This window comes from Homo sapiens, chromosome 1, assembly GCF_000001405.40.
Source record: "Homo sapiens chromosome 1, GRCh38.p14 Primary Assembly".
NCBI classification, from domain to species: Eukaryota; Metazoa; Chordata; class Mammalia; order Primates; family Hominidae; genus Homo; species Homo sapiens.
In genome coordinates, this window is record NC_000001.11 from 211,326,226 (window position 1) to 211,338,522 (window position 12,297).

At 50.7% G+C, this 12,297-nt stretch overlaps 1 protein-coding gene across 7 annotated transcripts in view, besides 3 other annotated features; it reads left to right on the forward strand.

Annotated features, from left to right (window-relative positions):
• Positions 83-472: an enhancer, noted in NCBI's record as "active region_2483". NCBI's record gives its function as "activates an Ori minimal core promoter by ATAC-STARR-seq in GM12878 lymphoblastoid cells {active_cell/tissue: GM12878}" and the evidence as "EXISTENCE:reporter gene assay evidence [ECO:0000049][PMID:35858748]".
• The window catches only part of TRAF5 (TNF receptor associated factor 5), a 48,312-nt gene continuing 36,424 nt past the window's right edge, over positions 410-12,297 (forward strand). For 5 of the 7 annotated variants that reach the window (NM_001319207.2, NM_001033910.3, XM_011509957.4 and 2 more), the window contains exon 1: positions 608-664. The gene's annotated coding sequence lies outside the window, so the exon portion shown is untranslated. Of the gene's footprint in view, positions 449-607; positions 665-12,297 lie in introns of those variants that run through there. The other 2 variants (NM_004619.4, XM_011509960.4) reach the window with 1 other exon arrangement.
• Positions 533-902: a silencer, noted in NCBI's record as "silent region_1784". NCBI's record gives its function as "represses an Ori minimal core promoter by ATAC-STARR-seq in GM12878 lymphoblastoid cells {active_cell/tissue: GM12878}" and the evidence as "EXISTENCE:reporter gene assay evidence [ECO:0000049][PMID:35858748]".
• Positions 4,036-4,095: an enhancer, noted in NCBI's record as "active region_2484". NCBI's record gives its function as "activates an Ori minimal core promoter by ATAC-STARR-seq in GM12878 lymphoblastoid cells {active_cell/tissue: GM12878}" and the evidence as "EXISTENCE:reporter gene assay evidence [ECO:0000049][PMID:35858748]".

Sequence of the window (12,297 nt, forward strand, 5' to 3'; positions counted from 1 at the left end):
GACAGGCAGACAGCAGACCTGGATTCAAGTTCCAGCTGCAGAGCTTGCTGAGCGTGTCTAACCTTGGGTACGTCACTCCACGTTGCTGCTCTGGCCCTCAGACAGCTCATCTGTAAAATGGGGATGACCAGGCCTACTTCACCAGCTTGTTTTGAGGACCACAGGAGATGTTTGGGAAGCCAACCGGGGAGCTCTACAACTCTCAGAGATTGCTGGTGTTAGGCCAACAGCAAGAGGAGGGCTGGCAAATTTGTGCTACCCTGAAGGAAAGTCCAGGAAGGACTGATTTGAGCCAGATCTCAAGCAAGGCCTTGAGCAAATGGGTCAACACAGGAGAGGACGGGCTGAGCCTTGTTGTGCCTGACGGAAGAGCAAGACGGCCACAATTCAGACGCACGTGAGGGAAATCAGATGACTGGACTTGTAGATACTAACGGTTCTGAAGCGGGTAGGTTAGCTTTCCAACCGCCTGGATGACGGTCTCAGCCTCCTCCCGACCCCTTCCTGCGCGTCCGCTCTTCCCCTGCGCCCGCCCGCGCCCCTCCGCCCGCGCCCCGGCCCCGCCCCAGGCCTCGCCTCCGCTTCGCCGCCGCCGCCGGCCGCAGCCAGGAGCAGCAGCCGCGCCTGCAGACCGGCCTCGCGGAGCCCGCGCGCCGAGCCCCACGTGAGTCCGGCGGGTCGCCGCCCTGGGCACCCTCGCGACGGAAGGGCCGGGGTGGGGACACCGACGAGCGCTTTTCATCTCGTCCCAGTTACTTTGAAACCGAAAGCGCCTGCTGGCGTCCGGCCGGTCCCCGACCGGCGGGGAGGGCGCGAGGCGGCGGCTGGGCCGGGGGAGGCGGAGGGGCCCGGGCTTGCGGGAGACCGGCGGGGCAGGTGACCGCCGACGGCCCGGGGACAGCGGGAGCGGTGCGGAGCGGGTTTCTTAGCCGGGGAGAGGTGTGGCGAGGGCGGAGACTGGGGGTCCAAAGCTGGGGAGCTGGTCCAGAGGGCGGCTGTGGACCGGAGGGGCCAGGTTCCGTCGGGGTGCACTGGCGGGGAGGACTTTCAGGCACGTCCCGCACATCCGCACTGCAAACCAGGCCCTGGCCCCCTTCCGCACCCGAAGGCACCCTCTCCACCTTTGCAGGGCTTTCCAATCAAAGCAACTCCAGAATGAAACTTCAGGATTGCAAGGAATGGAAGCCTCTACCAGCTGTTCGTTTGCGCGTCTTCCTTTAGAAAGCAGCTACCCCCCTCCCCCAGAAGGCGAGCTCTAAGGAACCTTGACGCAAACCAAAGCTCCGAGAGGTGGAAGGAGTTGCCCAGAGGCACCCAGAGAATTCGCAGATTCTGAGTTCTCCGTACCAGATGGTCTCCACTTTGTTCCTGTTCTGCAGGGTCTTGGTGGTTCTGAGAATTTTCGGGGCCACGCTCTTGCTGCGGGTCCCACTGGGCCACTCTGGCTGGCCGACTTTCTCTGCTCATTCGGCCTCCTTCTGCTAAGTTTCCATATTTGGGTATTTCAGATTTACTTTCATGAGAACTCAGTTATCTCGCTGTGGCAGGCAGAGCTGCCTCAGGCGAGCATTGAGGTTGGTGAAACCAGGCGAGGCTCCCTGCCAGGGCTGCCCCTGCAGCCCCCACCCTCCATAGCCTTGGGCTCTGACCCACCTCCTGTGAGGATAGGCATCTGGTAACCAGTTTAATTCTGTAAATATTTATTGGGCAGGTGCTGTGTGAGAACTGGGCTGGGGCCAGTGGAATATGGTTATTTCCTCCAGAGATACTTGCATTTTAAAAGGGCTCTGGAAGACCTGAGATGCAAAGAAATTAGTTGAACCATTTCTGGAAATAGAACAGTTTTGGGTGTGTGCGAGATAATTTTAGGCAGCAAAAGGCTGGGCTAGGAACTCTCAAATCCCAGTGCAGCTGCTCTGCCTTATGTACTCACAAAGCTGAAAACAGGGGTGTTAATGTAATTGATGGTTTGGGTGGAAACACTTCCATCCCTAACTCTAATTTGAACTAGAAAGACAGAAATTGCTGCAGGAACGATGGATGTAAGATGGAAGTGGAAAACGCCTAGCTTCTGTAAAGGTTTTTGATTTTGTTACAGTTACTGTTTTTGTTGTAACTCTATGGAATGGATCACCTCTCAGATCCCTGGCTCCTGGACAGAGGCAGGAGAAAGTGTCTGAGCCAGCATCTGGAACATGGGAAGTGATGGAGAAGGCGACTTCTCCCACGGCCTCTGGGCTGAGAGGCCTGTTGTGACGGGCAGGGTAGGATGGTGGTATTTCCCTCTGTCAGCAGCAAGCCCGCTGGACTTGGGTAGTAGGGCGATGGAAAGAGTGTGGAAAAGAGCTGCCGTCCACTGAACGTCCTGACGATAGGGACTGGGATGTTTCAGTGGGGATGATTTGCACAGTCGGGGAGCTAGATGCCTCAGAGTCAGTCTTGTTAGGCTTGCAGTGGGAAAGGCACCTCAGTACTTAGACAAACCTCCTCTGATTAGCTCAGCTTTACTGGGGAGGACCTTGAAGGAAAAATAATTATTTGTTTGTAAAGCTCGTTCCTTTGCAAAGCATTTTCTCTTTGTTCTTGTCGTTTTGTTCTCATTTCGTCCTCCATGACGCCCTCATGAGTTAGAGCAGGCTTATTCTCTACATCTCTCAGATTGTGAGGGTGAAGCACTGAGGCGGTAAATAGCTCCCTGAGCTCCACTGCTGGACCAGGATCAGAGCATTGAGGTGTCTTGTTCCCCTGCTCCAGGCCCCTCACCCTGGCTTCTCAGAGAGCCATATCTGCCCACCTCTTCCTCCGTCTGAGGGGTCAGCAAGGGGACCCAGATTCTGATAATGCCTCTGTGGTCTGTCCCCAGCAACATGGAGCAAGTTCTGCTGGAGACTCTGGCCTAACCACCACAAGAACAGACATCCACTCTGTTAGCTCTGCCTAGCCAGGCAAACTCCGGGCAAGACCCTTGTCTGTTTTCATGTGTGTCTTGGAACCTGGCATAGAGTAGGCCTAAACAGATGTTTGCTGAATCGAATTGAATTCATTCAGGGTACGTCTCCCTTGGGGTCTGAGCTGCCAGGAACAAGTGCTGGGTAGGCTTGGCAGAGAGAGGTTGAGCTCCCAGCAGGACTTGCTTAAATCCAGAAATTAGAATAACACTGTACAGCTTACGAGAAGCCCATCTCATCTGATTAACTTCTCACTACCTCCTCAGGAGAAGGGAGAGGCACATGCTATTCCTTCCACTTTACCTGGTTGCAAGCTGAGGCTCAGAAGTGATTTGAAAGACCTCACAGCATGTAGGGATGGGGCAGGACCTAATCCCAAGTCTTCTTTCTCCAATTCCTGTGTTTTTCCCATAGTATCTTAATTAAAGGAAGCCAGGATTCTGGGCAGGAGGAGGATGAGAGAACCAGCGAGACAGTCATCAAAAGCTGCCTGACACCTTTGTCACTGATCAGGGGTCAGTGTCTGACTCAGTCTCTGAAGAGCTTTTTTCTGCCCAGGTTGTGGCTTTTTCTGGGATTCTGGATAGGAGTTCTAGCTCCAGCAGAGGTGTAGCAAGTGAGTATCTGTGTGTGTTGGGGCAGAGGAGAACACGCTGCAGGGCAGAGGGAGTCCTCAGAGCTGGCAGGCCTCTGCTGCTGCTGCCGCTGCCACCACCCAGGAGTGGGCCAGCATGAATTTGTTGCCTTGCCCAGAGGAAAGCTTTATTTGAAGGATCACTCAGCAGCCTTGACCCATATGGCCTCCAGCAAGTCCTATCTTGTGAGAAAGTGGCTTGGAGGACCAGGCAGGAGATAAAAGTGAAAGTACTCATTAGTCCTGACAGAGGAACTCAGTCTGTTTACAGTGACAGTGGTGAGCACATTTTGCATATTTGTACCTGGAGGCAGGTGGTGGTGCATGCTTGGATCGTGCTGTAGCAAAAGCAGTATACATGCAAATGGTCTGTACACTGTGCAGTATCCGTGTGATGTGCAGGTCTTAGAGACCCAGTATTAAGTGACAGAGCCCAGTGAGTGCCCTCCCAGGATATCTCACTTACTTTCAGCAGAGCCCCATGTCTCATTTCTTGACACCACAGGCTCCATCAACTTCCCTCCTTACCAATTCAGAACATTCCTGAATTTTTTTCCATGGCTTTTTTTTTTTTTCTCTCAAGGAGAAAGTGCTCTCCTCCAGAACAAGGCGAGAGTACCTTTTCCACGTACACTCCCAAGTCAGCTCTCTCCTCCTCCCTCTGAGGCAGGTTCCCTCCCTGCCTCCCTCCCACAGACTTCTTCCCTCCCCCACAAGCTGAGTTTTCTGTTAGTAAGAAGACTCCATGTTTCCCCAGTCCCTCTTCTCTTTCTTTCACTGACAAGCTTCTGTAAAGAGTGGACAGCTCTTGCACTCGCTCCTCACTCGGCACCGTGCACCTGCTGCGCTGCTCTGATTGTCCTGTGTAGGTTTCCAGGACCTGGTACTCCTCAGTCACCAGCCCATACCAGCCCACGCTGCAGCTATTACTTATCTCCTTGGAGGTTGCTACACCGTCCCCACCAGCATTCCCTTCCTTGACCTCCAGCTTCTTATCCTCCTCTGTCCTGCAAGTGCAGGTATGGGGCCAAGGCTGGGTCCTCAGGTTGGATTTCAATTCTCTGTGCTTCTCTCCTTGAGCCCTTGGCCATTCCCAAGACTTAAACCAACACTTTTAAGGAAAGGCTGATCAAATTTCCATCCCTCACCCAGTTATCTTCTTGGCCACTATGATTTGCAATATTCAGAATCTTCACCATGATGTTTCAGAAGCACCTTAGACATTTGTCCGAGGCCGCCTCTTTCTCTCTGTTCTCTCTGTTGCAGAAATCGCTGCTGTTCCTCAGTCACCTTTATCCTGTCCCCCTCAGCCAGTCCTGATCTGTCTATTCCCAGTTCAGGGCCACAGGGACTCTTTCCTGGGCAACCTTAATTAAGCATTGACTCATTTTCCTGCCCCAGGTCCATCTGTATTCAATTTTCCTTTTCATGCTGCTGCAGAGGGGCCTCTTTAATACATAGCCTAGTCAAAACCTTCTACTTTCAATGATGGTGTAGTAGAAACAGTGTGGACTTCAGAATCTGGTGGGCCTGGGTTCATATCTGGGTTTATGATTTGCTGGTTGTAGTTATATAATCTGAGCAAGTTGCCCAACTTCCATAGTGTCTGTATTCCCACTGGTAAATAGAAATAGTAATGTGTGCCACTTGGGGTTGCTGGAAAGATTAAATGAGTCAATATATACACAGAGCCTGGAGTCTGGCAGATATTCAGTAAAACTGGTTTTCTCCTTCCATGTGGTTAATAGCCATAGAGCATTGTGGGGTTTCTGGGGAGCTGGAAACTGCATGCCTAGCCTAAAGGCATTCAAATTTAAATTAAAAACCAGCAGAAGAATTGCTGTGTGTCAGAGCAGGCCATCTTTTTTTTTTTTTGAGATGGAGTTTCACTCTTGTTGCCCAGGCTGTAGTGCAGTGGCACAGTCTCAGCTCACTGCAACCTCTGCCTCGCGGGTTCAAGTAATTCTCCTGCCTCAGCCTCCCAAGTAGCTGGGATTACAGGCATCCGCCACCACGGCCGGCTAATTTTTTGTATTTTTAGTAGAGATGGGGTTTCACCATGTTGGGCAGGCTGGTCTCAAACTCCTGACCTCAGGTGATCTGCCTGCCTTGGCCTCCCAAAGTGCTGGGATTACAGGTGTGAGCCACTGCACCTGGGCGAGTAGACCATCATTGAAACTAGCCTATTGCTGCCACTTTGCCATCTCTGGACCAGGTAGACCTCAGGGGCCAGGGTAGGGAAGCTGGGCTGGGACAGGGTATGGTGGGATAAGCTGGGATGAGTTCTTGGCAGGCAGAGGGGCCAGGCAGCCTCAGAGGCTGGGGCCCCATGGACCAGGTTTCAAGGGCAGGAGTCTAGTTTTCAGGACTTGTGGGCAGAGCAGGCGGCAGCTTTGGAGGAAGAATAGTGCTTGGCAGAGAGCCAACACAGGAAAAAATAAAACAGATTTGGAAAACAAAAATACAAGCTCTGGCTTGATAGCCAGGAGCAGACCAGTTACTTTAGCCAGATCCAATGTGAAGGCACAGCAGGATAAGGTTGACCTGATGCAAAGCCACCACCCAGAGCCCTTTCTGTTCTCCTGTACTAAGGCGTATGGCTTAGAACAGCCAGGCTGTGTTCTAAGGCTTCTGTTAGGGAGACCCTTGACCCTGGAGGATGGAGGGAGGTGGGTGGGGCTAAGCTAAGCGGCAGCCATGAAGGTCCCTCTTCTGTCTTCATGATTTTAGGATTTCTGAGGTAGAGGCTGGGTTGATATCTATGATGCAACCTAGGAAAACTTACCATGCCTCCCTGTTAAAGGCAGAATAATTTAATATAAAGCAAAGGCTTACATGCTCAGCAGATGCAGAATGAAAGAAGTGATTAAAACATTGGGTGGAGTTATTCCAGGAATAACCCACTAGGGAGTGAGGGGGTAGATAGGAGAAATGGAGGGGGAATATTGGACTTGAGCAAAGATGTTTTAAAAAGATGAAGAACATTTTAGTCACCCTTAATGAATGGGAAGTAGATTATTTGGGAGCAGACTGATTTCCTTATGTTAAGGTGTTTTATTTCAAAAGTCAGTACTTTGGGATGTTGCCTCAAATTATCTGTATCATTCCCACAGACCTCCCTTAGAGATATTTATTGCCATGTATTAGCTGTGGACAGCCAGAGGCTAAGTTCTTTCCCCACCTCTTTGATACTAACAGTTCCCATAGGGCCTATGTATGACTAAGTGGTTCACTTTCACTTCACTTACACTGGATCTTCCTAACAAGTGGACCTCTCTAGCCCTCATCTCTTCTACCTCGTAACAGAAGTGCTAGATTTTCTCATTAATTCTGTTCAAGCCTTGTTAAATAGCTCTAGGCCCTTCTTTTTTTTGTTTTGTTTTGTTTTGTTTTATTTTTGAGACGGAGTCTTGCTCTGTTGCCCAGGCTGGAGGGCAGTGGCGCCAACTCGGCTCACTGCAACCTCCGCCTCCCGGGTTCAAGCGATTCTCCTGCCTCAGCTTCTGGAGTAGCTAGGATTACAGGCGCCTGCCACCATGCCTGGCTATGTTTTGTATTTTTAGTAGAAACGGGATTTCACCATGCTGGCCAGGCTGGTCTTGAACTCCCAACCTCAGGCGATCCACTCCCCCCCCACTCCCCACTAGGCCTCCCAAAGTGCTGGGATTACAGGCGTGAGCCACGGTGCCCAGTCTTGTTTTGTTTTTTGAGATAGGGCCTTGCTCTGTCGTTCAGGCTGGAGTGCAGTGGTGCAATCTCGGGTCACTGCAACCTCCGCCTCCTGGGTTCAAGCGAGTCTGTCACCTCAGCCCCCCGAGTAGCTGAGATTACAGGCACCCACCAGCAGGCCTGGCTAATTTTTGTATTTTTAGTAGAGATGGGGTTTCACCACGTTAGCCAGGCTGGTCTCAACTCCTGGCTTCAAGTGATCTGCCCGTCTTGGCCTCCCAAAGTGCTAGGATTACAGGTATAAGCCACCGTACCCGGCCTAAGGAAAGGTGTAGGTCTTTCTACACCTGACTTGCCTATGCCTACCTTTTCTTACATCATTTCTCCTGCCTAGAATGCCTCCTGTTCAAAACCATTAATCCATACCCCTGCCACTCTTTTCAAAACAAATTCAAAATTCATCTCTTGTTAGGCTTCTTTGTTGGGGGTCCCCAAGACCATTCCCAGGTTCAGTGATTTGCTAGGAGAACTTACAGGATTCAGCATCCAGCAGATGGTCATACTCACAGCTATGATTCATTTCAGCAAAAGAATACAAAGCAAAATGAACAAAGGGAAAAGGCTTATGGGGCAAAGTCCAGGGGAGACCAGGTGCAAGCCTCCAAGAGTCTTGGAAAAGACTCTGCAAAGGACTGCCGAGGGGGAATCACACAGGATGTGCTGAATTTCTCCAGCAGTGCATTGTGACAGCAGGTGTGAAGCACTGTCTACCAGGGAAGCCCATTAGAGACTCAGTGCCCAAGGTTTTTACTAAGGGCTGGTCATGTAGATACCTTCATCTAGCACATGTCAGAATTCCAGCCTCCAGAAGAAAAACAGGTGTTCCACATAAAACACATTGGCTGGGCGCGGTGGCTCATGCCTGTAATCCCAGCACTTTGGGAGACCGAGGCGGGCTGATCACAAGGTCAGGAGATTGAGACCATCCTGGCTAACACGGTGAAACTCCGTCTTTACTAAAAATACAAAAAATTAGCCGGGCTTGGTGGCACGCACCTGTAGTCCCAGCTACTTGGGAGGCTGAGGCAGGAGAATCACTTGAACCCAGGAGGCGGAGGTTGCAGTGAGCCGAGATCGCACCACTGCACTCCAGCCTGGGGGACAGAGTGAGACCCCGTCTCAAAACAAAACAAACAAACAAAACAAAACACATTGTTTACCTAGATGGTTTAAGCACAGTGAGCCGCTCTTAGCAGTTCAGGTGGTGGGAGCCTTACTGAAATCCATGTTCCAGACACCAGCCAGGGGCCATCCTTGCGAGGAGAACTTTCTAGAGATAGCAGTATTAGGCTTGCTGTGTTAACTTGTTTCTGCATAGCTTTCCTTCATAATCTCATCTGTCCTGTCCTCCCAGTGCCTAACTATAGTTATGTTGTAGAGAAAATTGCCCTAGACAAAGAACCAGAAGACCTGGGTTTCAGCCCAGCATGGCCTCCTACTGCTGTGTGGCCCTTTGAACCCCTCAAACTCCATTTTCCTCATTGGGAAAAGAGGAATTGTAATTCTTGCTTGTAGGTCTCAATGGTGACTAAAGACCAAAGGAAATGATATAGTTGGTCATTCCTTCCATCCCCCATAATCGAGCACCTCCTTTATCTAAGGCAGTGAGTGAGCTGTGGTGAGTAAGACGTGAGTGTGACATGGTGGCTTTGACAGCAGACAAGCCTGAATCCCTACCCAGAGTTACCAGCTGTGGTACCTCAAACACCTTGTGTCATCCCCTCAGCTTTGGGTTCCCGATCTGTAAAATATGAAGATGAATAATACAATGAGGGTCTGCAAACGTGGGCTGCTGTGTGAATTAAGTGGGACAACCTATGTACATCTCCTGCAGTATCTAGAACATTATGGCACCCCAAGTGGCAACTGTTAATTGACTCAGATATTTGAGTGCTTGCTCTGCGTCTGCACCTTGAAAAATATAAGACACAATTCCAGCACTGCTTTCTTCGTGCTGGGGAAGACTATTATTGAACAGATAATTAATTACATAAACAATTATTTACATTCCCGGCAAGTGCTGTTAAGGAGAAGTACAGGTGGTTAAAGGGCATGTCATAAGTGGGGGGGACCCTAACTTGATGGAGGAGGCACACAGAGGCATGGCTGCATATGTGAGGCTTCATCTGGGCTTGTATGTGTTTAGCTCAGCAAGAGGTGGGGAGAGAGGAAAAGATGTTTCCGGAAGAGACAACAGCTTGAGGAAAGGGAGACCCAGCCTTAGGGTGAAGGCTGTAAGGGGGAAAGGTTCTCTGTTCATATGAGGAGTGGCAAAAAGACCAGGAATCCAGGAGAGGTGGAGGACAGGTGGGGAGATTGGCCTAATTCAGAGGTCACCTCTGCCGCCACCCTGGCAGGGAAGGGGCAGAGCAGGGGCCCCATGCAGGGAGATTTGCAGGTGTGGTGGCAGGAAGTAGAGGTGGTCTGGTCTGATGATCTCTGTTTTTTTTTGCTGTGCAGTAAGGAAGTAGAGTTTCCTGGTGAGACTGGAGGGAGTGGTCAAGGTTTGTGGAGGAGAGAAAGGTTTAAAATCAACATTGAACAGAGTGAGCTGAGAAGGAACAGCTGGCTTTGTGCTATGTTATTGTGTTGGCATGATGAAGTCTCTGGAAAAGGACTCTGGCAAATGGGATTTTAGATCTCTAGCACCTTGTACAATGCCTGGCACCTAAATGAGGGCCCCATAAATGTTGATTGCATTGAATTATTGGCTGGCTACCTATATACATTTTTCTCAGCATTTCCCCTTTCTCAGGTGCCTGCTACCCTTGGGCTAAAGCTTCCCACTTGGCACCTCACCCAGAGGCTAGCTCACATTAGTGTGTCAGAGGGAGCGCTGCTCAGGCTTTACTCTTCCGGTCCTAGTTGGCTACACTGTCCCCTCACCCCTTACAGTGACTCCCCAACTCCTACCCCAGGTCAGCCATCATGAGCCAGCCTTGCACTCTCCAGCTGGGACTGGTAGAATTTCAGGACTTACAAACAGGTGAAATGAAAAGGTTTAGGCAGTGAGAAGCGTGCTTAGCAGGAGAGAGGCTGCTCTGCTTGCTGGAGAATAGCTGTTACAGTCATTCTGTAAGTATTTACTAAGCACCTGTCATGTGCACTGTTTTGTTTGTCTGTTTGTTTTTGTTCTGTTTTGAGACGGAGTCTTGCTCTGTCATCCAGGCTGGAGTGCAGTGGTGTGATCTTGGCTCACTGTAACCTCCACCTCCCTGGTTCAAGTGATTCTTATGCCTCAGCCTCCTGAGTAGCTGAGATTACAGGCGTATGCCACCATGCCCAGCTAATTTTTGTCTTTTTGGTAGAGACGGGTTTCACCATGTCGGCCAGGCTGGTGTCAAACTCCAGACCTCAACTGATCCGCTCACCTCGGCCTTCCAAAGTGCCGGGATTAAAGGCGTGAGCCGCTGCACCTGGCCAGACCTCAACTGATCCGCTCGCCTCGGCCTTCCAAAGTGCCGGGATTAAAGGCGTGAGCCGCTGCACCTGGCCACGTGCACTGTTTTATGTGTTGGGACTTCAGTACCCAAAGAAACAATCCTTGCTGTGCTGGAGCTTATATTCTATTCTGATAGGGGAAGACAGAGAGCAAAGACATGAACAAGTAATATGTTAGGCAGTAATAAGTGCATTGGAGAAAAATGCAGTAGAAGGTGGGTCTGCCAGGGATGTTGCATTTTCCATGTAGGGTGGTCAGCAAAGGCCTCCCTTGTGAGATAACATTTGAGCAGGTTCCTAAGGTGAAGGAACAAGCCCTTCAGATATCAGGGTGAAGAGTATTCCAGGCAGGGGAAAAGCAAGCAGAAGCCTCTTCTGCTGTTCAAGAAGACGCAAGGCAGTGTTGCCAGAGTGAGTAGACAAGGGGGAAGGCACTAGGAAGTAAGGACACAGAGAATGGAGAGGCAGAGAAACGAAGGGCCCTGACCTCTAAGGACACTGGCTTCTACCCCGAGTGCAATGGGGCCATTGGAGCAGAGGAGCAGCAGAGACAGCTTCTGTTTTTAAAAGCATCACTCTGGCTGCTGGGTTGTGAATGGGCTGTAAAGGAGCAAGGCAGAGCAAGAGACCAGCTAGGAGACTGATGCAATAACCACTGGGGAGATGATGGCAGCTTAGGCCAGAGTGATTATGCTGACAGTGGCGAGGAGGAGAGGGGGGATATGTTGGGAAGGAAGATCCCATGGGCTTTGGTGTTGTGAGATGGAGAGTAAGAGAGGAGCCAAGGATCACTCCAAAGTTTTTGGTCCAAGTGACGCTGTGATTGGTGGTACCATTTCACTGAGATGGAGGAAGGCTATGGGAGGAGCAGGTTGGGTGGGGATTTGATGTGTTAAGTTTGTGATGCCTATTAAATGTGGAGGCATAGACTAAACAGTGGAGTGTGTCTGGGGCTCAGGGGAGAGGTCCAGATTGCAGATAGAAATCAGGGCATTGTCAGTCATAGCTGGTAAGGCCAGGAGCTGGGACGTGCTCACCCAGAGAATGAGTGCAGATAGAAGAGAGCAGGTCCAGCACCAGCCCGAAGCTCCAAGAGATAAGAGAAGGTGACCTGGAAGCTGCCACGATGATCTGACTGGTGCTCCTCACACTGTCATGAGCTGTAGAATCTAGCCTGGGAATTTGCTAGAAAATCAGATTCTAGTTGCTACTGAGAGATCATGATACTGAAGTGTATTAATCAGGGAAGGCTAAACTATTATAACAAATGGGTCCCCCTTCCTCTGGGGTAAGGTGTCCAAGCTAGCATTTTCATCATGTTCTAGAACAGATTCTTAGCAGAGCATCTGGGGCCCTGACTGCTCAGAGAGCTGCTGCTATAGTTTTGTGCATATGCATACGCATATCCCTACCTTGACTGAAAACTTCCTGGGGACAGGAGCTGTCTGGTAACCCACTCTCCTCCACTCCCATAATACAATAGGGCGCAGACTTTGCATGTGACCGGCACTGAATAAAGCTGGCTAGGAGGGCAGGGTGGAAATG